General features: G+C 46.2%; 1 protein-coding gene across 8 annotated transcripts in view; it reads left to right on the top strand.

Moving 5' to 3' along the window:
- PKNOX1 (PBX/knotted 1 homeobox 1) overlaps positions 1-23,063 on the top strand; it is a 59,370-nt gene that overhangs the window by 21,187 nt on the left and 15,120 nt on the right. For 3 of the 8 annotated variants that reach the window (XM_047440826.1, NM_004571.5, XM_047440829.1), the window contains 6 exons: positions 8,578-8,684; positions 11,743-11,870; positions 14,305-14,476; positions 17,320-17,490; positions 21,160-21,259; positions 22,385-22,482. In XM_047440826.1, coding sequence (XP_047296782.1) covers positions 8,634-8,684; positions 11,743-11,870; positions 14,305-14,476; positions 17,320-17,490; positions 21,160-21,259; positions 22,385-22,482 — 720 coding nt within the window. In that variant the 5' untranslated portion in view covers positions 8,578-8,633. Of the gene's footprint in view, positions 1-396; positions 5,207-8,577; positions 8,685-11,742; positions 11,871-14,304; positions 14,477-17,319; positions 17,491-21,159; positions 21,260-22,384; positions 22,483-23,063 lie in introns of those variants that run through there. The other 5 variants (XM_047440828.1, NM_001320694.2, XM_047440830.1 and 2 more) reach the window with 3 other exon arrangements.

The raw sequence follows: 23,063 nt of genomic DNA on the forward strand, positions 1-23,063 counted from the left end.
TTCACAAACTAGTGTTAGCATCCATCGATGATTCCTGTCTGAAACGGCTTACTGTGGTGGTTGCCGAATGGTGATGTTTGAAAGCTGTCGTCATCCTCTACACGTTAGAGAACTCTTGTATTTTAGAGCTTTTTCTGCTCCCCATCTATTCATTTATGTATTTATATTTTTAAAGAAAAACTTATTCTGACCCTTATTAAAGTTAGCAAGGCACTTAGTGCTTTGGGAGGCAAGGCAGGACGATAGCTTGAGGCCAGGAGCTTGAGACCAGCCTGGGCAACAAAGTGAAACCTCATGTCTACAGAAATTTTTAAAAATTAGCCAAGTGTGGTGGTGTGAGCCTGTAGTCCTAGCTCCGTGGGAGGCTGAGGCAGGAGGATCACTTGAGTCCAGGGGTTCGAGGCTGCATGATTGCACCACTGTACTCCAGCCTAGGTGACAGAGCAAGACCTTGTCTCAGAAAAGCAAGACAAAGGGCAGGCTGTTCAGGATGATCATGATAGGTATAGGGACTGCTGCAATGGGATTGTGTAGTGGGGGAGACCTAGGAGCAGGAGTGGGGGCCATGGACGGAAAATTTAACTAAGAGGAAACATCAGGGTGCAGGGGGTTCTGGCTGAACTGACCTAACAGGATTCTTGTGGAAGGCCGCTAGCATCACTCCTCTGGACCATAAACACTCGGGGAGTCCCAATCTCTCCTGAGCAGTGCATTGGCGCCAGCTTTCCAGATGTGTGTGTAAGTCCATCATCCTTTAAGAAGTTTGCTTAGAAAGCCTAGATGCTGAGACTTAAAAATGGAGTCTCACCATGGACAGTTCTCATAAAGAATTGTCTCCCAACAAAGTGGCTGACTGTGTTGTGGCTGTATTGTTACAGACCTTCTCAGATGTGTTTGCTGCAAGTTTTGTTTATTTGGAACTCTTTGGAAGCTAGCACAACTACATAGAAACCCATATAAGTTAGCCACCATGCTCAGCTAATTTTTAAAAAAATTTGTTGTAGAGATGGGGTCTCGTTCTGTTGCCCAGGCTGGTCTTGAACTCCTGGGCTCAAGTGATCCTTCCACCTTGGCCTCCCAAAGTGCTGGGATTACAGGTGTGAGCCTCTGTACTCAGCTAATTTAGCTAGTTTTTGTATTTGATTTTTTTTTTTTTAATAGAGTCTCTGTCATCCCGGCTGGAGTGCAGTGGCACGATCTCGGCTCACTGCAACCTTTGCCTCCCAGGTTCAAGTGATTTTCTTGCCTCAGCCTCCCAAGTAGCTGGGACTATAGGCATGTGCCACCATGCCCAGCTCATTTTTGTATTTTTAGTAGAGATGGGGTTTCGCTATTTTGGTCAGGCTGGTTTCGAATTCCTGACCTCAGGTGATCCTCCCACCTCAGCATCCCAAAGAGCTGGAATTACAGGCATGAGCCATAACGCCTGGCCCCATATGCTGTTTATTTCATTTTTCCCAAGCAAACTAGGACTTAGAGATTGTTTCACAAAGCCCTGCTGACTCATTTTCAACACTTCTCCACAGGACTAGTGCTATGCGTCAGCAGACGCTGCCTGTGTGGGGATGGAGGTTGGCTCAGACACAGTGCGTGGCCTCGGGAGCCTTACGTTCCAGCAACCACTTGACTAACAGTCATAAAAATTAAAATTGTAAAATATTTTGTCAACTGTGCATCAGCCAAACAAAAAAAATTAAAATTGCCTAAAGTGGAACAAGGAGATGTGGGATGAAGTCAAGCAAATTATGTGTCCAAAAATGTATAATGTCAGTGATTAGCTTCAGGAAGCATTTGTATTTAGTGCCTATTGACATCAGAGACAGCGCTAGTAGTTGGGGATGCAGCAAGACGGGCCCCTGGCCCTTAAGGAACTTGTAGTCCAAATGAACAACTGAAGTACTGCGGAGCTGAGCAGAGGGTGCTGTGTGAGGGTCCAGCATGGACAAACTTAACCCCAGTGTGGGTGAGATTCATCAGGAAGGCTTTCTGGAGAAGGTGATGTGGGCGATGCATGTTCTCCACCTAGCCATGCCCAGAGGGAAGTGTGTCTGGGCAGAACTATCAGGCTGGGGAGGACTCAGGGGTGGGAGAGAACCTGGCATGCTGGGGAAGCTAAATGTGGCGATTGGTTTGTTTATACAACTTGGAGTGCGGAAGGGGGTCAGTAAGGGGATGCTGATGCCTGAGGGTGAGGGTTGGGCAGAGGCAATTTTAAGCATGTGAGTCACATGATCAGATTTCCATTTTAGAAAGCTTGGAGAATGGGTCTACTCAGGTAGCTCACACCTTGTGTTGTCCATTTTCACACTGCTGATAAAGTTGTACCCAAGACTGGGCAATTTACAAAAGAAAGAGGTTTAATTGGACTTACAGTTCCATATGGCTGGGGAAGCCTCACAATCATGGTGAAAGACAAGGAAGAGCAAGTCATGTCTTACATGGATGGCAGCAGGCAAAGAGAGAAGCATGTGTGCAGGGGAGCTCCTCTTTTTAAAACCATCAGATCTTGTGGGACTTATTCGCTATCATGAGAACAGCACAGAAAAGACTTGCCCCCATGATTCAACTACCTCCCACCAGCTCCCTCCCATAACATGTGGGAATTCAAGATGAGATTTGGGTGGGGACACAGCCAACCATATCATTGTGCCCCTGCCCCCTCCCAAATCTCATAATCATGTTTCAAAACCAATCATGCCTTCCCAACAGTCCCCCAAAGTCTTAACTCATTTCAGCATTAACTTAAAAGTCCACAGTCCAAAGTCTCATCTGAGATAAGGCAAGTCCCTTCCATGTATGAGCCTGTAAAATCAAAAGCGGGTTAGTTACTTCCTAAATACAGTGGGGGTACAGGCATTGGGTAAATACAGCCATTTCAAATAGGAGAAATTGGCCAAAACAAAGAGGCTACAGGCTCCCATGTAAGTCTGAAATCCAGCAGGACAGTCAAATCTTAAAGCTCCTAAATGATTTCCTTTGACTGCATGTCTCACATCTAGGTTATGCTGATGGAAGAGGTGGGTTCCCATGGTCCTGGGCATCTCCGCCCCTGTGGCTTTGCGGGATACAGCCTCCCTCCCAGCTGCTTTCACGGGCTGGCATTTAGTGTCTGCAGCTTTTCCAGGTGCATGGTGCAAGCTGTTGGTAGATCTACCATTCTGGGGTCTGGAGGACAGTGGCCATCTTCTCACAGCTCCACTAGGCAGTGCCCCAGTAGGGACTCTGTGTGAGGCCTCCAGTGCCACATTTCCCTTCCATACTGTCCTAGCAGAGGTTCTCCATGAGAGCCCCGCCCTTACAGCCAACATCTGCCTGGACATCCAGGCACTTCTGTATATTTTCTGAAATCTAGGCGGAGGTTCCCAAACCTCAATTCTTGACTTCTGTGCACTCTCAGGCCCAATGCCATGTGGAAGCTGCCAAGGCTTGAGGTACCCTCTGAAGCCAAGGCCCGAGTTCTGCATTGGCCCTTTTCAGCCACGGCTGGAGCAGCTGGGATGCAGGGCACCAAGTCCCTATGCTGCACACAGAACAAGGACCCTGGGCCTGGCCCATGAAACCAGTTTTTCCTTCTAGGCCTCTGGGCCTGTGATGGGAGGGGCTGCCATGAGGACTTCTGAAATGCCCTGGAGACATTTTCCCCATTGTCTGGGGGATTAACATTAGGCTCCTCATTACTTATGCAAATTTATGCAGCCAGCTTGAATTTCTCCTCAGGAAATGGGATTTTCTTTTCTTTTTTTTTCTTTTGAAATGGAGTCTCACTCTGTCACCCAGGCTGGAGTGTAGTGGCACAATCTTGGTTCACTGCAATCTCTGCCTCCTGGGTTCAAACAATTCTCCCGCCTCAGCCTCCTGAGTAGCTGGGATTACAGGCGTGCACCACCAAGCCCGGCTAATTTTCGTATTTTTAGTAGAGACGGGGTTTCTCCATGTTGGTCAGGCTGGTCTCAAACTCCTGACCTCATGATCCTCCTGCCTCAGACTCCCAAAGTGCTGGGATTACAGGCATGAGCCATTGCTCCCGGCTGGGATTTTCTTTTCTATCACATTGTCAGGCTGCAAATTTTCCAAACTTTCATTCTCTGCTTACTTTATAAAACCGAATGCTTTCAATAGCACCCAAGTCACCTCTTGAATGCTTTGCTACTTAGAAATTTCTTCCACCAGATACCCTAAATCATCTCTCAAGTTCAGAGTTCCACAAATCTCTAGGGCAGGGGCAAAATGCTGCCAGTCTCTTTGCTAAAACATAACAAGTCACCTTTGCTCCAGTTCCCAACAAGTTCCCCACCTCCGAGACCTCCTCAGCCTGGACTTTACTGTTCATATAATTATCAGCATTTTTGTCAAAGCCATTCAACAAGTCTCTAGGAAGTTCCAAACTTTCCCACATTTTCCTGTCTTCTTCTGAGCCCTCCAAACTGTTGCACCCTCTGCCTCTTACCCAGTTCCAAAGTCACTTCTACATTTTTGGGTATCTTTTCAGCAACACCCCACTCCTGGTACCAATTTACAGTGTTAGTCCATATTCATGCTGCTGATAAAGACATACCCAAGACTGGGCAGTTTTCAAAAGAAGGAGGTTTAATGGAGTTACAGTTCCACATGGCTGGGGAAGCCTCACAATCATGGCGGAAGGCAAGGAAAAGCAAATTATGTCTTACATGGATGGCAGCAGGCAAAGAGAGGAGAGCATGTACAGGGGAATTCCTCTTTTTAAAACCATCAGATCTCATGTGAGACTTATTCACTATCAGGAGAACAACATGGGAAAGACTTGCCCCCATGATTCAATTACCTCCCACTGGGTCCCTCCCACAACACGTGGGAATTCAAGATGAGATTTGGGTGGGGACACAGCTAAACCATATCACACCTGTAATCCAGCACTTTGGGAGGCTGAGGCAGGAGAATTGCTTGAGCCCAGGAATTCAAGACCAGCCTGAGCAATATAGCAAGACTTCATCTCTACAAAAAATTTAAAAAGCCAGCATGGTGGTGTGGGCCTGTAGTTCCTGCTGTTTAGGGGGCTGTGGTGGGAGCATCTCTTGAGTTCAGGAAGTCGGGGCCCCAGTGAGCTATGATTGCAACATTGCAGTCCAGCCTAGGTGACAGAACAAGAACCTGTCTCTAAAAAAGGGAGAAAAAAAGAAAGCTTGGAGAATGGACTGGAAGAGGGAAGACTAGAGGCTCATACAACCAGGTAGGAGCCTCCTACCACCATTGAGGTGTGAGGTGATGGCGCTGAATTAGAGCCACTGCACTGGGGTGCAGGGGAGCAGATGGAAGTGAAATTGGAGGGAAAGCAGAGATTTGGAGGAGAGCCAGGTTATGGTCAAGGCGGAGTCCTGTTAGGAGAGGTTCAGTGACACGTTTGCAGATGTGTAGGGTCTCTGCAGAACAGTTGTCTTGGGGAAGAGTTCCTGAAGTGTTTTCCTCATATTTTAATTGCACATATTCCATTTCATGGGTGGCCGTTATCCGTTATACCAGGCTGCTGTTGAAAGCGGTTTCCAGCCTTTTCTGTTACCAGTGGCTCCCATGCCGTGTTGCAAGGGTGTACCTGTGTTGATAGGATTCCCCCGGGCTGTGAGATTGCTCAGTCACAGCCTTCTCCCTGCAGGCTCTCCTGCTCATTGGCAGCACCCTCAGCCCCACTCTTCCTTGGCACTCAGCCTCCTCTTCCTTGGCACTCAGCTGTCCTTGCCGTGGCTGGCACTCCCACATCCTTGGTCCTCCTTCTCCACGAGGCTTTGGGGGCACCACCTGGTTCTTTTGCTGTCCCATGGCAGTTCTTCATCCTGTGCTGTGTCCTCCTGTCTCCCTGAGCTCCAGACTGTCTTCTAGCACAGGCTGTTCTCTCTCTTCCTGAATGGTCTCATAAAGTCTTAAGGCTTTAAACACATTAAATATCTAAAAATAAAGTTGGCCGGGCTCAGTGGCTCATGGCTATAATCCCAGCACTTTGGGAGGCTGAGGCGGGCGGATCACAAGGTCAGGAGATCGAGACCGTCCTGGCTAACATGGTGAAACCCCGTCTCTACTGAAAAGACAAAAAATTAGCCGGACGTAGTCGCAGGCGCCTGTAGTCCCAGCTACTCGGGAGGCTGAGGCAGGAGAATGGTGTGAACCTGGGAGATGGAGCTTGCAAGTGAGCTGAGATCGCGCCACTGCACTCCAGCCTGGGTGACAGAGCAAGACTCCGTCTCAAATAAATAAATAAATAAATAAATAAAAATAAAAATAAAGTTTTAGCCACCCACCCTGGCAGATTTATTTTTAGTATTGTAGGCACAGGGTCTTGCTATGTTGCCCAGGCTGATCTTGAACTCCTGAACTCAAGTGGTCCTTCCACATCAGCTCTCAGAGTGCTGAGATTACAGGCATGAACCGCCGTGTCCAGTTAGACGTGTCTTTTTGGAGGACACAGTTACCCTCTACATGTACTAACTATACTTTGATGGTGGCCAAATCTGCGTTTCTAGGCCAGACTCCCTTGCTCAGAGTTTTAATGGGGGTGTCTGAGAAGCATCTCAAACTTAAAATGTCCCAACATGCCCTCCCCTCCCAGGCCACAGAAGCTGCTCCCATTGACTGTGGCCCCACTCTTGTACCCATTGACCGTACCTCCTCTCTTGTACTCATTGACTGTGCCCCCTCCCTTGTATCCACAACTTTGCCCCCTCCCTTTTACCCCATTGACTGTGCCTCCTGTGCCCTTTGACTGCACCCCCTTAGTGGCTCCAGAATGACGCTGTTGAGGGTGAGTCCCAGCTCAGCCTCTGGCCATCGTGGTGGCTGAGGCCACATTGCTCAGGCTTCTAAGGTGTAAGTGGCATCACAGCAGTGCCTCCCACGGATTTTGTGAGGGCAGATTGCACTAAGATGGCTCAATGTGCTCAAGAGGCGACCTGGCTGCTGCCACGGCTGCTGCTGTTCTCACTGGACTCCTTGTTCCTTTTTCTTTCATTTGTTTGTTTTTGGAGATGGAGTCTCGCTCTGTCACCCAGGCTGGAGTGCAGTGGCACGATCTTGGCTCACTGCAACCTCTGCCTCCTGGGTTCAAGCGATTCTGCTGCCTCAGCCTCCTGAGTAGCTGGGACTATAGGCGCATGCCACCATGCCCGGCTAATTTTTGTATTTTTAGTAGAGACAGGGTTTCACTATGTTGGCCAGGCTGGTCCCAAACTCCTGACCTTGTGATCCACCCGCCTGCACCTCCCAAAGTGCTGTGATTACAGGCGTGAGCCACTGCCCGGCTCCTTGTTCCTTTGAACTGTCTCGCTCAGGACAGGACGGTAGTCCTTCTGCATCCTGCAAGACTTGGACAGGATTTCTTTCCATTTAACACTGTCTCCTAAAGTGCTGCTTTCCTTGGGGAACTTTGCTGTTCTTGCTAGTCCAGAACAAGTGGCACAACTGCCCTTGACCTCCACATGACCTTCTCAGGGCAGCCCAGACTCTAAATGTCTGTGACCTGCACCAGCAGCAGCAAGGCCATGCCGGCCGTGGTCCAGCCCGGCTGCTCTCCCCCACTCTGCAGTGTTTTTCCACACCCATGCTGCAGGTGCTGGTTGCGTTCCTGCTCCATCCTTCAGTGCGGAAGTGGCATTTTGCGGTTTTCTGTTGTCATGAAGCAAGTGCGCCACACTTGCCTGTCTTATGTGCGTGTGTATATGAGCATGCCCATCTCAGTCTCCCTGAGCGCCTCTTTTCCACCCGTCTCAGGCCTCTGTGTTAGCTGTTCCCTCTCTCTGAAACACCAAACTCCCTGATCTCAGCCTGTCTCTCCAGTCTCGACGTAACAGCATCTTCCCAGCGAGGCCTGCTCTGACCACACGGCCCGGGAAAGCAGCCCAGGCCCCCTCTCACTTCACCCTGTGCCCATTCTTGACCCTGTGTATTGTGTCTCTCCCTTGCCTGGTTTGTGTCAGGAAGGCAGAGGCCCTGCCTGTCCTGCTCACTGCCGCACCCCAGGCCCAGCATGCTGCCTGGCATGGGCAGGCATTGACTTGATATTAGCTGGGCAATGAATGACAGTGACTGAAAATGTAATAGCAAGTCAGGGCCTAGCACAGGAAAATAAGTGATTGCTATGTAAGTGAAGGGTTGCTAAGTAGGATTTGGGTCATAACATACTGTTAAGGATAATTTTTTTGTTCTCTACATGTAAAAATATGTATTTTTAAAAATTGGATGTCATGGGCTGGGTGTGGTGGCTCATGCCTGTAATCCCAGCACTTTGGGAGGCCGAGGCGGGTGGATCTCCTGAGGTCGGGAGTTCGAGACCAGCCTGACCAACATGGAGAAACCCCGTCTCTACTAAAAACACAAAATTATCCAGGCATGGTGGCACATGACTGTAATCCCAGCTACTAGGGAGGCTGAGGCAGGAGAAACACTTGAACCTGGGAGGCGGAGGTTGAGGTGAGCCGAGATCGCGCCATTGCACTCCAGCCTGGGCAACAAGAGTGAAACTCGGTCTCAAAAAAAAAAAATTTGATGTTATGGAATGAGGGAGACAAAAAATGCTCTACAACTATTAACTGATGCTTTTCTGGTTTTGTTCTCCAGACACCATTCGCTTTTCACCCAAGATGATTTGATGTCTTATAAAACTCTGATGAACCATGATGGCTACACAGACATTAAGTATAGACAGCTATCAAGATGGGCAACAGGTGAGCTTGAACTTGATTCTGCATTCTAATTACAAATCAACCTGGCACTCAAGCATGAACATTGCTTTGTATACTTGCAATTCAATTGCCATGAGGTTGCATGCTCAGTGTTAGTGTATTATGCATTTATTGTACATTCGTGTTCAGAAAAAAAGCCATAGAATAATACTATTTCGTTAACTGATACCAAGATTGCCAGGAATCTTGACTTCCCTAAGTCATATGACAGTTTCTTGGGAATTTACCTTTTTAATGTCAGTGTTAATTAGCACTGTTACTTTGAAAGAAAACCCGGTTGATTTTCATGATGACAGATTCCCATGTTGACTGGTGGCTCTTCTGAGTGTCTAACTGGATCAGCTTTTGAATGGGAATCTTGTAGCCTCGTCTCCCCAGTTGTAGGCATGAGAGGGGCTGTCCCAGTAATGAATTTGCAGGGGCCCCAGTGCTCTATCTTTGTACCTTGCTCGTGCTTGGATGGTTGTGCCATACACGGGCAGCTCTCCATTGCCCTCCCACCATAGATGAGACTTTGTTCTCCTGGAAGCTGTGGTGTTTTGTGCTTTTGAGTATCTGAGTGTTTTGTGTTCTGTGACCTGAATGAATTGAGGAGCAGGTGGATCGAGACTTGGCTGAGGCCCTTGTGGTCTTTCTTGGCTTGCGATCTTGTTAAACACGGTGTTCTGAACCCACTGGCATTTGGCTCATCATCCCACTGACTCTGGAGCCAGTGAAGGGATTTGGCCCTGCCCTTTACTTTCCTGCCCAGCAGGCAGGGGCAGTGCAGTACACCCCCCTCGGCTCTCCTCCCCACCTCGAGGACTTCGGTGGCAAGGATCAGGCTCCGGAAAACTCACTGGAGCCATGCTGGTGAGGTCTGAGGAGGGGTTAGGAGCTGAGGCGCTGGGTCCCCCTTTCCCTGGTGGTTAGTTTTACCAACCAGTCCTTGTTCAGTTCCTGTGGCAGAGATTTTTGTTGTTGGTGGTGGTGGTGTTAGTGTTTTTTTTTCTCTGTATAGCAATTAAAGGAGGGAGATTCTGTGATGTAGTCAGCCTGCTTCCTTAGCCTAGAAGTCCTTAGTCCTTTGGTATTTCCAATTGACTTTTTTTTTTTTTTCTAAAATGCAAATCTAATAATGTCCCGCCTGAGCTCTCCAGTGGCTCCCTGTGGATTCCTGTGGGTTTCATGCAAAGACTGAGCTGCTCTGTGGCCCGAATCGTCTGGCCCCTCTGGACCCCAGGACGCCCCCAACATCTCTGCCTGGCATATCTTGGGCACCTCTCTGCCTGCCCTGGAGCACCGGTCCTCACTGTTCCCATCACTCTTCTCCCTCCTGCCTGCCAGGTCTTTGCTCCGACCCCACTGCTGCCTCCTGTGCACCAAGGCACGGTGACCACCTCCAACACAGCCTGGTTGCTACCAGCCACCTCCTCCCAGGCAGCTGTGCCAGGTGCAGATGACACCTGGAGCACTGCCCTTTTCATACCCGAGTGTTTCCAAGGGCCTCGGAAGTGTTTAATCAGCATTATTTTAAATAAACATTGAAATATATCTACAGCGTAGACCTATCATAATTATTTTGCCATTTTTCCAAGGTTGAACATTTAGGTTTCTCTCTTTTCACAATCATTTTTTTTTCAAATACTGAAATGAATCTTTTAAGGCTTCTTATTTTTTATTATTTATTTATTTACTTATTTATTTATTTTGAGACAGAGTCTTGCTCTGTTGCCCCGGCTGGAGTGCAGTGGTGTGATCTCAGCTCACTGCAACCTCCGTCTCCCAGGTTCAAGCAATTCTCCTGTCTCAGCCTCCTGAGTACCTGGGATTACAGGTGTGTGCCACCACGCCCAGCTAATTTTTTTGTATTTTTAGTAGAGACAGGGTTTCACCATGTTGGCCAGGCTGATCTTGAACCCCTGACCTCAGGTGATCCGCCCACCTTGGCCTCCCAAAGTGCTGGGATCACAGGCATAAGCCACTGTGCCTGGCCTTTTTAAGGCTTTTTATACATGCTGGCAGATTGCCTTACACAAATACTGTGTCCACTTAGGCTTTATTGCTTTTATTTTTTTTTTTTAAGAGAAACATAAACAGTTTTCCTAATATGTTGTACCATTTAAAGGCAGCAGAATAGAAGTCATCTTATTGCAAAAACAAGACATTGGAGGGAAGAGAGCACAGGGCTGGAGGATGTGAGAGGCGTCCTGTGCGGGTGGGCGTTCATGGCTGGCCCCCAGTCTGTCTGGACAGTGGGGATGGCCCCGCTCCCATGAGGTCTCCCCGCCCCCGCTGCCCCAAGCTGCTTCCTCAAGGGGCAGAAGCATGGCCAAATCCACCGCGGGAGAAATGGCCCGTCCTGGTCCTGAGGAAGCTGAGGTCAGGACAGTCTAATCTGCTGCTCATGGATAACTAGAAGTTTACTTTCACGAAATTTTGTTTTTGTAAACTGATTTTTTTTAACGATTTAAATGTTTTTTACCTAAATGACAAAGGCATTGCTTGTTTAAAGCAGTTTAAATGATAGTATCTTTTAAGGCTTTAAGTAAACACAGCTGGCCTTTTCCTTTCTGAATGCAGTGACATTTTTATGGCTATGTATTGCTGAGGTTTGAGGGTAGATATGGGAGAAGTTCAACCTTGTCCCAAATATGTAGCGTATGGGTTAGGTTGTGTCTGTGACATGGTAAGAAGACCTTGGACTATTTGTCTATGCTTCTCTGACTGTAGTATTGCTACACGTGAGGAGATATAGCAATAGACGGAGGAGTAGATTGCACGTGTGCCGTTCTCTTCATTAGGCCATCGCCAGTGTTATTTTAAAATCATGAGCATTTCACAGACATTGGTTATCTCAGTTCTTAAGCAGTTTGGAAATTTTACCTTTATTTTAAAGCACATTAAATTCAAAGCTGTTTTGTTGGTAGCATTCTTTACATATGATTGCAGTCATACTGCTGTCTGGCAATTCCCCACTCCAACTGCATTCCTGTTGGAGCATGGAATACCTCGTAGTAGTTTGTGTTTGCTAATAAGAATTATCTTCCTCCTTTTACAGATGCAAGTAGTAACAGAGTTAAAGACAGAACAAGATCCAAACTGCTCTGAACCCGATGCAGAAGGAGTGAGCCCTCCCCCTGTGGAGTCTCAGACCCCGATGGATGTGGACAAGCAGGCCATTTATAGGTAGTGCCCGGGGTGCCGGCTGTGGGGGCCTCAGAGGAGTGAGGAGTGTCCACAAGTTTGTTAAAAGGAACACCAGAACTAGTAGCGAGGCAGAGTTGTGAGGTGCCATTATGATGTGATAACTGCTCGGCTGAAAATTTTCTCAGATTAAGATGTTATTTCTGGCCAGGTGTGGTGGCTCATGCCTGTAATCCTAGCACTTTGGGAGGCTGAGGCGGGCGGATCACTTGAGGTTAAGAGTTTGAGACCAGCCTGGCCAACATGGTGAAACTCCATCTCTACTAAAAATACAAAAATTAGCCAGACATGGTGGCACATGTCTGTAATCCCAGCTACTTGGGAGGCTGAGGCAGGAGAATCACTTGAACCGGGGAGGCGGAGGTTGCATTGAGCTGATATCGCACCACTGCACTCCAGCCTGGGCAACGAGAGCAAAACTCTGTCACACACACACACACACACACACACACACACACACAAAGATGTTATTTCTAATACCTATAAAAGTTTTAGAATATCAATCTATAAATTTTGTGTAACCTTGCAAAAAGAAATATTCAGGCACAGATGATTTTACTGAGAATTCTACCCAACATATAAAGAAGAAGAGAGCAGCAAGTCTGCATAGTCTCTTTCAGGAAGTAGAGGAGGAGTGAATGCTTCCCAACTCACTTTATAATTGACATCACTCTGACACTAAGACCAAAGACAATACCAAATAAGGAAAATACAGGCCAATATCCTTCATGAACTTAGATGTAAAAATCATCAATAAAATATTAACAAATCAATTCTAGCAATATGTAAAAAGAATAATACGTAGCGACCAAGTCAAGTTTTTCCTGGGAATGTCAGACTTGTTTAGTATTTAAAAGTCTGCCAGGCGCAGTGGCTCACACCTGTAATCCCAGAACTTTGGAAGGCCGAGGCAGGTGGATTACCTGAGGTCAGGAGTTCAAGACCAGACTGGCCAACATGGCGAAACCCTGTCTCTACCAAAAAATACAAATATTAGCCGGGTGTGGTGGTGCATGCCTGTAGTCCCAGCTACTCTGGAGGCTGAGGTGGGAGAATCACTTGAACCCGGTAGGCGGAGGTTGCAGTGAGCTGAGATCATGCCACTGTACTCCAGTCTGAGTGACAGAGAGTGAGGCCCTATCTCAAAAAAAAAAAATTTTTTTTTAAGTTCAGCATAGAATTATATATAACTCAGCAATTCTACTCCTATGCATATGTATACCTAACACAAATGAAAAAAGTCCACACAAAAACGTGTACATGAATTTTCATAGCAGCACAGCCTATCATGGCCAAAAGCTGGAAACAGTGCCCATGCCCATCAACTGATGAATGAACAGACACATTATGGCATCTCCATGCAATGCAAGAATATTTAGCAGTAAAAGGAATGAAGTGGCGGGCGCGGTGGCTCATGCCTGTAATCCCAGGACTTTGAGGGGCCAAGTCGGGCAGATCACTTTAGGTCAGGAGATCGAGACAAGCCTGGCCAAAATGGCGAAATGTTGTCTCTACTAAAACAAAAACTAGGCCAGGCATGGTGGCTCACGCCTGTAATCCCAGCACTTTGGGAGGCTGAGGCGGTTGGATCATCTGAGGTCAGGAGTTTGAGACCATCCTGACCAACGTGGAGAAACCCTGTCTCTAAAGATACAAAATTAGCCGAGTCATGGTGGTGCATGCCTGTAGTCCTAGCTACTTGGGAGGCTGAGGCAGGAGAATCGCTTGAACCCGAGAGGCGGAGGTTGTGGTGAACCGAGATCACGCCATTGCACTCCAGCCTGGGCAACAAGAGCGAAACTCCATCTCAAAAAATAAAAAAAATTAGCTGGGCATCATGGCGGGTGCCTGTAGTCCCGGCTACTTGGGGAGGCTGAGTAGGAGAATCGCTTAAACCTGGGAGGGCAGAGGTTGCAGTGACCCGAGATCGTGCCGCTGCACTCCAGCCTGGGCGACAGAGTGAGACTCCATCTCAAAAAAAAAAAAAAAAAAAAGGAATAAAGTACTGATACCCGTAAAACACTGGTAAGCCTTGGACACTTTATGCTGAGGGAAACAAGCCAGACACCACGGTCACAGGTTAGACGGTTCCCATTTAGACAGAATGTCTAGGAGAGGCAAATATATAGAGATAGCAAGTAGGTTCTAACAGGCTGGGGTCTGGGAAAAAATGGAGAATGACTGCTATTGGATACAGGGTTTCTTTGCGGGGATCATGGAAATGTTCCAAAGTTGACGGCGGCAATGCTGTGCAACTGTAAAAACCGTTGAATTGCATACTTTCAACGGGTGGACCGTGTGGCGTGTGCATTTTCACCCAACAGAGGTGTTAGTGAAGTAGTGCAGGCATACACGCAAAGACATTCTCACGGAGATGTAGAACGTAAATGGATTCTTTTTTTTCTTTTCTCCTCAGGCATCCACTATTTCCATTATTAGCTTTGTTGTTTGAAAAATGTGAACAATCTACACAGGGCTCTGAAGGCACAACTTCTGCCAGTTTTGATGTAGACATCGAAAATTTTGTAAGAAAGCAAGAGAAGGAAGGGAAACCTTTCTTTTGTGAAGATCCAGAAACTGATAATTTAGTAAGTAAAATAAATTTTATTTTTAGTTTTCAAAATGTGAAATCTGTTCATGAAATTTTAGGCTTCTAAGTAGAACTTTAGACTGCTTGTAGTTCTGCTAAAGGAGAGACTCATACAACTCTAAAAGAATTTTTATGGTGTGTGTAATGTGGATATCCCCAAGTCTTCCAGCCTTCTCTAGGTATCTTTTATTTATTTAGTTTTTATTTTTAGATTTATTTTATTTTTGTAGACACATCTTACTGTATTCCCCCAGATGGTCTCAAACTCCTGGCCTCAAGCAATCTTCCCTCCTCAGTCTCTCAAGGCCCAACCTACCCTTTCCTTTAAAAATAAAATAAAATAGGCCAGGCGTGGTGGCTCACACCTGTAATCCCAGCACTTTGGGAGGCCGAGGTGGGCAGATCACAAGGTCAGGAGTTCGAGACCAGCCTGGCCAACATCTGGTCTCGATGTTGGCCAAAATCCCATCTCTACTGAAAATACAAAATTAGCCAGGCATGGTGGCACATGCCTGTAGTCCCAGCTACTCAGGAGGCTGAGGCAGGAGAATCACTTGAACGCAGGAGGCGGAAGTTGCAGTGAGCCGAGATTGTGCCACTGCACTCCAGCCTGGGTGTCAGAGTGAGACTCTGTCTCAAAAAATAAAAATAAAATAAAATAAAATAAAATAATTTGAGCCTCCATGCCAAATGGACACGGGGATTCAGTTCTCTGCACAGTGTTTGTAAAGGTCCGTAGGGCTGGGGTGTTCGGGTGGCATGTCTGTGACCTGTGTCTGTCCTTGGCTTATCATGGACATGGACACAGACTTGAGCTGTATTCTCCAAGACAGCTCTGTCTTTTTTTTTTTTTTTTTTTGAGACGGAGTCTCGCTCTGTTGCCCAGGCTGGAGTGCAGTGGTGTGATCTCAGCTCACTGCAAGCTCCGCCTCCCAGGTTCAAGCCATTCTCCTGCCTCAGCCTCCCGAGTAGCTGGGACTACAGGCACCCGCCACCACGCCCGGCTAATTTTTTTTGTATTTTTAGTAGAGACGGGATTTCACCGTGTTAGCCAGGATAGTCTCGATCTCCTGATCTTGTGATCTGCCTGCCTCAGCCTCCCAAAGTGCAGGGATTACAGGTGTGAGCCACCACGCCCGGCGACAGCTCTGTCTTGAGGCTGACAGTGATTTGTGATGCCCTCCCCCCAGGGCCAGGGCTCCAAAATCCAGCGTTTTCTGTGCCCTCCAGAGGCAATGGAGAACATCTTGGTTCCGTCATCACTGGATTGCTCTGAATGAGCTGCACCTGAGGCACCTGTACAGCACTGTCAGCTTTGGGCAGACCACACTCTCTGGGTGTGCTCTCCTGCCAGAGTGTAACCACGTGTTTACTTCTCAGAGCTGGGTACACAAAGATCCGGCATCAGGGAACCTTCACTGGATTCCCTTCGAGCCATCTTGGTCCCATATCAAAACCCTGGTTAGGGCCTTCAACAGAAAAGGTTTTTGGAAAACTCATTTTTCCTGAATAAATTGCTGAGGTCTTAGTTTTTAAGAAAATTCTCATTATATACTCGATGCTTACCATGAAACAGATTTTGTGGGTGAGTTATCTGACTTGAATCTGTCTCCTCCTCTCTGAGATGAGACTAACAGTGCATGCTCTTTGGGTGAGGATCCGATGCTCTCTCCACCCCTGAGTCTGTGGTCCACATCCATCTTCCCATTGGCCCACACCTGGCTTGGCCCAGTGAGTAGAGCACAGGTGTCCTCTGCACCCCACTAGGCTGGCAGGGACCAAGGTTCTCTTGACTGGTGAGTGTTTAGCACAGGGCCTAGCAGAGTTTGACACTCCATCATTTTTGTTACTGAGTGATTCATTTATTCACTGCATAGATACCTACGAATTCCTACCACCAGATTTACAGGTGAAGGAGATGGGCTTCGGAGCTGCTGATTCATAGGCAGCTGGTGCTTATGAAAATGGCTGCATTATTGGTATTAGTTATCTATTGCTGTGGGACAAATTACCCCAAAATGTAGTTACTTAATATAAAACTATACAACTTTGGCCAGGCGTGGTGGCTCACGCCTGTAATCCCAGCACTTTGGGAGGCTGAGGCAGGTGGATCACCTGAGGTCAGGAGTTCGTGAACAGCCTGACCAACATGGTGAAACCCCATCTCTACTAAAAATACAAAAATTAGCTGGGCATGGTGGTGCACACCTGTAATCCCAGCTACTCAGGAGGCTGAGGCAGGAGAATCACTTGAACCCAGAAGGCAGAGGTTGTAGTGAGCTGAGATCGCACCACTGCACTTCAGCCTCCAGCTTGGGCAATAAGAGTGAAACTCTGTCTCAAAAAACAAAACAAAACAAAATGATATAACTTTTAGAAAAATCGCAAGAGAAAATCTTGAGGATCTAGAACTAGGCAAAGACACCAAAATGGAACTTTATGAAAATGTAGCACTAGCCTAGGGTGAGTGTGGATGTATCACTATTTGTGGATGTAGAAACAGGAGTAGATGAGGGTGAGTCACTTGTCCTGCCTGCCACAGAGCGAATCAGTGGAAGGGCTAGGCTTTGGCTCACAGCCCACACACCTAGCACTGGGATGCACCGAGGTCACCACCACGCGCCTTTGTCTTCCCTGCACACCAGATGCAGCCAAACACCAAAGCCCAGGTCAGTGGCACCGGAACAACACATCAGTTTAGAGGATTTCTGATGTTATTCCACTTTGGTTATTGGCAGTAGAGATGGTTCTATCTAATGACTAAGAACTGGTATGTAGGATCATGATAACTTACAATAATGCCACCTTTTTCTCTGAAAGTCTTCATTTTCTCTGCTCTAGATGGTAAAAGCAATCCAGGTTTTGCGCATTCATCTTCTTGAGCTGGAAAAGGTTAACGAACTCTGCAAAGATTTCTGCAGTCGATACATTGCTTGTCTGAAAACAAAAATGAACAGTGAAACTCTGTTGAGTGGAGAGCCTGGAAGCCCGTACTCACCAGTGCAGTCCCAGGTACTTACATTTGGGGGTCTCGCTTTCCCTCTCTGCCACTGTGAACATCTGCATTGAGTCATGAGACCACCAGCTCTTTCAGAATTCACTGGGTCATCTTTATGACTTTCTACAAGAAGGACCCTCTAGGTCTCTGACCCCAGCCTGGTTTGGGAATGAACTCCCTCAGATTATGAAGTGAGTCCTCAATCTGCATACTGGGCCCCCGGTCCCATGTTTATGGAAGGCACAATTCCATTCATTTCTTTCTTTTATTTCTTCTGAAAATATTTTACTTATTCTTTTGAAAAATTGTGTAAAATACACATAATATAAAATTTACCATCTTAGCTATTTTAAAATTTACAGTTCAATGGTGTTAAGTTTATTCACATTGTTGGGCAACCATCAACACCATCCATCTCCAGAACTTTCTCATCTTCTCAAACTCAAACTCTGACCCCATTAAACACTCATTCCGGATTCCCCCTCCCCTAGCCCCTGGAACCCACCGTTCTACTGTCTGTCTCTGTGAATTCGATGACTCCAGGTCTCTCATGTTAAGCGGAATCGTACAGTGTTTGTCCTTCTGGATCCTTTGCTTGTTTCATTGTGCAGAATGCCTGGAGGGTTCATCCATGCGGAAGCACTATTGTGTTTTAGCCATTCTGATGATATGTAGTGATATTAATATTTCTTTGTGGTTTTAATTTTCATTTCCCTGATGGCTAATAATGTTGAACATTATTATACCCTCTGTGTATTTTCTTTGATAAAATGTCTGCTGCTTATGTCTTTTGCCTTTTTTTTTTTTTTTTTTTTGAGACAGAGTCTCGCTCCATCACCCAGGCTGGAGTGCAGTGGCGCGATCTCGGCTTACTGCAAACTCCGCCTCCTGGGTTCATGCCATTCTCCTGCCTCACCCTCCTGAGTAGCTGGGACTACAGGTGCCTGCCACCACACCCGGCTAATTTTTTGTATTTTTAGTAGAGACGGGGTTTCACCGTATTAGCCAGGATGGTCTCGATCTCCTGACCTCGTGATCCGCCCGCCTTGGCCTCCCAAAGTGCTGGGATTACAAGCATGAGCTACCACGCCTGGCCGTCTTTTGCGCATTTTTTAGTTGGATTTTTTTTTAACTTCTGAGTGTTGAGAGTTCTTTGCTTATTGTAGATACTAGTTCTCTGTTGGATATGTGGTTTGCAAGTGTTTTCTCCAAGTCTATAGTAGCTAAGTATTTTTCTCATCCTCTTAACAGGTCTTTTTCAGAGCCAGCCTTTTTAATTTTAATAAAGTTCAATTTATTAGGTTTTCCTTTTATGGATCATTCTTTTGGTGTCAAGTCTAAGAACTCTTTGCCTAACCCTAGGTCCCAAAGACTTCGTCTTAAGTTTTTTCCTAAAAGTTTTTAAATAGAGACAAGGTCTCACTATGTTGCCCAGGCTTGTCCCAAACTCCTGGGCTCAAGTGTGAACCACCATGCCTGGCCTCAAAAGTTTTATAGTTGTCCATTTTGCATTTAAATCCGTGATCCATTTTGAGTGGATTTCTCTATAGAATAACTCTCAAAGCTGGGCACATTGTTTCCTCCCACCCTGTGATTCCTTTTCAAAATTGTTTAGCTGTTCTGGTTCCTTTGCCTGTCCACATAAATTTTAGAATGCTCTTGTCTAGAGCTACAAAAACATCTTGCTTAGATTTTGATAGGAATTGTATTATACCTGTATATCAATCTGGGGAGAATTGACATCTTTACTGCATTAAGTCTTCCAGTCCACAGGTATGGCATGTCTCTCCATTGATTGACAACTCTGATTTCATTCATCAGTGCTTTGTAGTTTTTGACACATAAGTTGTGTACATGCGTTTTTAGAATTATACCCAAGCATTTCCTTTCCTGGCCTGTGCCATCTCGAATAAGAGTGGCAAGAGCAGACATCCTTGCCTTGTCACCGCCTTAGGGGACACCTTTCAGTCGCTCACTGTCGATGATGTTGGTTGCAGGTTTCTTTCTAGATGCTCTTTATCAAGTTAAGGAGGTTATCCTATATTGCTTTTTTTCTGAGAGATTTTATTTTGTTCAATTTTGTTAAATGCTTTTCCAGCATTGATTGATATGATTATGTGATTTTTCTTCTTTAGCCTGTTAATAATGGACATTACATGGATTGGTTTTTTGAATATTGAACAAGCCTTCTATTCCTGGAATAAACTCCACTTGGCCATGGCACATAATTCTTTTCATATGTATTCTTGAATTCTATTGGCTAATATTTTGTTCAGCATTTTTGTCTATATTTGTAAGGGATATTGGTGTATAGTTTTGTTTTTCATACTGTCTTTGGTTTTGGTATCAAAATACACAAACTTACATAAAATGGATTGGGAAGTATTCCCTCCTCTTATTTTTTTCTGGAGATTATGTAGACTTGGTGTTATTTCTTAAATGTTTGAGAAATAGAATTGATCTATTTCACCTAAGATGTTAAATTTAGGAGTTTAGAGTTGGTCTAGTATTCTCTTCATAGCCTTTTGGTGTTAGCAGGGTCTATAGTGATCTCTTCCTGTTTTATTTCTGATATTGATCTTTTGTGTCTCTATTTTTTTTTTAGTCAGTCTTTCTAGAGGTTTATGTAATTTTCAAAGAACAGTATTTTGTTTTATTGATTTTTTTGGTTGTTTTTCTGTTTTCAGTTTCATTGATTTCACCTTGATCTTTATTATTTCCTTTCTTCTGCTTTCGGTTCATGATGTTCCTCTTTTTCTAAGATCTTAAGGTGGAAGCTGGGATGATTGATTTGACTAGCTTAACTTTTATTACAGCCTAATTAATGTGGCAGGCTTTAAGCGTAGCCACTAAGCTTACACATTCCGCTCGATGATGGCCCACAGAATCACCGCCTTGGGGTGGCGTCCCCTTATGCTATGTAACTGCTCACATGTCAGGGCACATGAGTGTGCCAGGCCCGGCACTGGAGGCTCCTCTCCCCTGCCAGCTGCCCACCCAGGCGTCACAGTCAGTGGATAAAGTGGCCCATGTGGATCTAACCCCAGATGCATAGAGTCCTCCATGGGGCATGTAGAAACATTTGCATGGGGCTCGCTGTAGGCCGGGCACAGTTCCAAGCACTGTACAAGCAAGAACACTGGGGAAAGCCAAGATCACACTTAGTCCGTGCCGGGGTCAAGAGTCAAGGTGGGTGCCAGGGGCTGACTCCCCAGCACAGCTTGGAATACCTCAGCCCTGGTCACTTCTAGTGCCTCCCAGGCCTGTGCTATAATCTCTTGAATGCTCTTATCGGTCAGGGAGAGCTTGGTTCATGGAAAACTCAAGAGTCCACCAAGCCAAGTCTAATGAAAAAGATGTGTGATCAGAAAGCAGGGTCTTCCTCGATATACTCCTGGGCTGTAAGGCACGTGGAATATGGCAGTGAGATGAAGATAATCTTTTGGAAGCCACAGTGCAGGCTGACGTTGCAGGCTGGCTTGTTGTGTTTAATACACAGTTGAACATCTCTTGCTTTCCGTGTGTGCTGCGTGCATTCTGAAGCCGCGTCATCTGAGGATGTTCTTTCCCTCAAGCTTCTCTTTCCTTTTTTAATGGTGTCATTATGCTACTTATGTTAAAGTTTTAAACATGGGTTTTCCGTTTTCTAGTAATTCCTTCAACATGTGTGTTCTGACTTGCAGCAGATTCAAAGTGCCATCACAGGCACCATCAGCCCTCAGGGAATTGTGGTGCCGGCGTCCGCGCTGCAGCAGGGAAACGTAGCCATGGCGACGGTGGCAGGTACGATGACAGAAAAATGGACACACTCTCCATGAGTTTTTGCAGAAAATGGTCCTGTGTGTTAGAATGACAGTATAAATATAATTTCAAGTTCATGCCATTTTCTAATATAGCAATGTTAGAAGCTAGAGGTCTCTGAATGCCTCTTTCTTGTTAATACTCAATAACAAATATTTTATGCAGATTGTGTTTCTTTGTTTCTCTACCAAAAATATATTGGAAAGAAAAAAGGTTTTATGTAGGAATTGAAAATATACACCAAAAACCAGTTGTCATTTTCAAATAACATAGCTTTTTGTTGTGCTTTTAATAGCACCGTGAAAATCTTAAGTTTTATCATTAATTGATGACAAATAAAAATGCAGTCTTAGCATTGGTATTACTTGTAGAACAAAACCGTTACAGGAAAGGGACAGATTCCAGAGTTCCCTGATGCGTAGAGAACATTGAAAACACAAAGCATCATGGAAATGGGACACGGCAAAGAGGGAGGGGTAGAAATTTACACCAAAGACCTCACATAATAGCACAAAGGGAAACCTCAGTGGGAAAAAAAAAAGCACCATTGATCCAAAAATATAACTAGAATTAAAATAGTTATTATTTAGTACCCTTGGCCAAATCCTTAACATGTGCTAATTTTAGGAAATAGTAGAAAGCAGAGGCTAGCAAAAGGAAGGGAGCCCTCACACCCCAGGTCAGTTGGTGGTGTGTGAGCCGGGCTGTGTGGGCTGCCAGGCACATAGCGCCCACCCACCTGCCCACCCACTGCTGCAGGTGCCCGAGTAGCCCACCCAGGGAGTTTGTTTTGATACTTTATAGTGACAAGTCAACTGGCAAAGGATTGTTGATCTTTTGAAATGATTAAAAAGCTCATCAAACCAGGGATTTTATTCCTTTTGTAAGTATATCAAGAAGAGGGCTGGTCGCAGTGCCTCACATCTGTAATTCCAGCACTTTGGGAGGCCAAGGCAGGAGGATCAGTTGAAGCCAGGAGTTAGAGACCAGCCTGGGCAACAAAGCAATGTCCCTGTCTCTACAAAAAAAAAAAAAAAAAAAAAAAGAAGAATGGTTTAAATCATTGAGACTTAAAAGCAGCCTCATATTTTTATTCTCCCTTTCGAGGTGGCACAGTGTATCAGCCTGTCACGGTCGTCACTCCCCAAGGCCAAGTGGTCACACAGACATTGTCGCCTGGGACAATTAGGATCCAGAACTCCCAGGTGCGTGCGCCATTTTATGGAAGGCTTTGGGGGCGAGTGCTGCCCACATAGGGGCACAGGTAGAACAAGCATGAGCCCTTCCCTCTGCCTGAAGAGCTTTGTCTTGTGTAGCAATTTCTGGTTTCTCTGAATGTCAGTGTTTTGTTTCTTTGTACTCTTATCTCTCGCATTGTAGAGAATTTGCAAAGTTCAGAAAATTCTGAAAGAACAGGAAAAAAGTCACTCATAACCACCCCCTGCCACCCACACACACACACACACACACACACACACACACACACACACACACACACAGAGTTATCCAGTGCTAACGTTGGATCATGTGCACGTGCACCAGGGGCAGAGGTCTTGTAGGCACACACTCCCCAGGGTCCCCACAAAGGGCACGGCAGAACTGCCAGGCAAGCTTTTCAGACCAGTGAGCCTGGCCCACACCTCCATCATGACAATGTCATTGGGCCAGGGCTTTCAGGCCTCTCTGTCACCCAGGCTGGAGTGCAGTGGCGCTATCTCTGCGGCTGCTGAGCCTTGCCCGTCTTTGGTGTGTGTTATCAGTTCTTACTTTAAGAACATTGATTCTG

Source organism: Homo sapiens, chromosome 21 (assembly GCF_000001405.40).
Source record: "Homo sapiens chromosome 21, GRCh38.p14 Primary Assembly".
In the NCBI taxonomy this organism is placed as follows: domain Eukaryota; kingdom Metazoa; phylum Chordata; class Mammalia; order Primates; family Hominidae; genus Homo; species Homo sapiens.